Raw genomic sequence first — 2,422 nt, 5'->3', positions numbered from 1 at the left:
AAATGGTAATAAGTGGCCAATTATGGAAACACATTGATGTCAGGGTCAATAGGATTCCTGGAAGAATTGATGTGGGTTGTGAGAAAACGGTTTGTGTTAAATCTCAGAAGAAACCTGAGTTTGGGTAGTGCACAAAGTGGGAGAAAAATGAAGAGGGAAAACAGGGAAGCGAAGGGAGGAAAACTCTCCGGAAGGAAAGGGCAGTTGACTGTGTTCTGTGCAGCTGCTGATCCCTGCAGTGTGGAGATGAGAATTAACCACTGGACTCAGTCACACCACAGGGATCACTGACTTGACGGAGCGACTTCTTGGATTAGGAGGCGTCACTAAGACAAAATGGTAAAACAGCGTTTTAAATATACTAAAGAATAAGACTTATGTTTATATGCTGATAGGAATGAGTCATTCTAGAGAGAATAACCTGCAATATGGCAGGGAAAGGCCAACACTGGAGGACTGGAAGCTGTCCATGAGTGGACGAGACACAGGATCTAGGGAAAAAGTAGAGGATCCACTTGAGACAGGATTATAGAAAGGAAAGATTTGCAGTTAGTAGGCCACACTGAAGAGGGCCAAGTGCAGAGACTGGCAAGGTAATTACTGATAAATAGCCCCCGATTTTATTATTAGAAAGGTAAGATAGCCTTAATGAGGGTAGTCACTGTGGAATTCCTGGGGAGAAAAGACAGTTGAAGGAAATTTCAGAAAAAGATAAAACAAGTATAGATAACGCAAGACACATGGCTACAGAGGAGAGGAGGAAGCAATGAAGATACGTGATATGGAAGCATGTTGGGAGGTTTTTATTGAGGTAAAATATACATAATTAACCATTTTAACTATTTTAAGTGTATAATTCAATAGCAGTAAGTATATTCACAATATTATGCAAGCATCACCACCATTTATGTCCAGAATTCCAGAATATATTTTTATCTTCCTAAATTAAAAGAGGGCTTTTTGAGGAGAGAATCTTTGGTACAAATGTAGTCAATAAAGAAATAATTAAGAGAGAGTTTGCAAGTAAAAGGGGAATTAAAATAGATGAAAAAAGGGATGGCTAGCTAGATGGGTATGAATGGATGCATGGATGGATGGATGTGTGGATGGATGAATGGATGCATGGATGGATGGATGTGTGGATGGATGGATGGATGCATGGAGGGATGGATGGATGGATGGATGTGTGGATGGATGGATGGATGGATGGATGGATGATGGTGCCAAGATCCAGTCTGGTAAACAGGGTAAGATTCAAGCATAAAGGCAAAGTTTGGGCAAGAAAATGGAAAGAATTTTTTTTTTTTAAGAGAAAATCTCTGTCGCCCAGGCTGGAATCTCAAACTTTTGGGCTCAAGTGATCCTCCCACTCCAGCCTCCTGAGTAACTAGGACTACAGGCACACACCACCATTCCCACTCCAGCCTCCTGAGTAACTAGGACTACAGGCACACACCGCCATGCCTGGCTAAATTTTTTGTTATATAGAGACAGGGATCTTGCTATGCTACACAGGCTGGTCTCAAACCCCTGGCCTCAAGAAAAGCACTGAGATTACCAGTGTGAGCCACCGCACCCAGCCAGAAACTATTATTTTCAAATCAACTACTCCTTAGGCAGACAACATCTATTATCTAATGTAATCCTCACGACAACCATGTGTGGTAATTATTATTGTAGTCTTTTCATGAATGAGGAATCTAACATTGAGAGCATTTAATGTTCCCTGAGTTGCAAAGCTAATAATTGTTGAGCTTGAGTTTGAGCCTATATGTATTTAATTCCACAGCCTAGTCCGGAGGCATTGTCTAAAATGCCACTCATTCTTTTGTCCATTCAACATAATAATATCTGCAATGTGCAAGTGTCGTATTAAGTAACTGAATAAGATCGTAGGCTTTATTTTTTCCACTTTGGACATTTTCCATATTGGCCATATCTATTTATATGATGAATTATTAACTGTCTAAAACTGGCACCTAAATAAATGTGCCCAATGCCTCCATTTAACCCACTGATTTACTTAATCAATTGCTTATGTGTTCATTCCACAAATATTCACTAATTTCAGTCAATACTTTTATCGTTGTCTTTGTGCCAGGCACTGTGCTAAGCACGGAGATATACTGGTAACTGTTATTGGCATGTTTCCTGCTGGCATGGAATTCTATGGCTAACATGCTTGCATTCATACAAGAAGGTAGGGAGTAGGATAAGACCGTGAGGGAAAAAAAATAGACATAAATAGACCTGGAGTCCGCCTTCCTCATGTAGGAAGGCCATCCCAGTAGATACTGAGTTTAAAGGGATCTTTCAAACTCACTTTGTCTCTGGGACAGCAGGAACCTGAAGTCAGTCTGCTCTGATGAGAAGAAGCAACATGCATCCTCTGCCTTCTGGAAAATGGGGCTCTTAGTTCCAG

This window comes from Homo sapiens, chromosome 2 (genome assembly GCF_000001405.40).
Source record: "Homo sapiens chromosome 2, GRCh38.p14 Primary Assembly".
In the NCBI taxonomy this organism is placed as follows: Eukaryota; Metazoa; Chordata; class Mammalia; order Primates; family Hominidae; genus Homo; species Homo sapiens.
Note: the sequence above shows the minus strand (reverse complement) of the source record.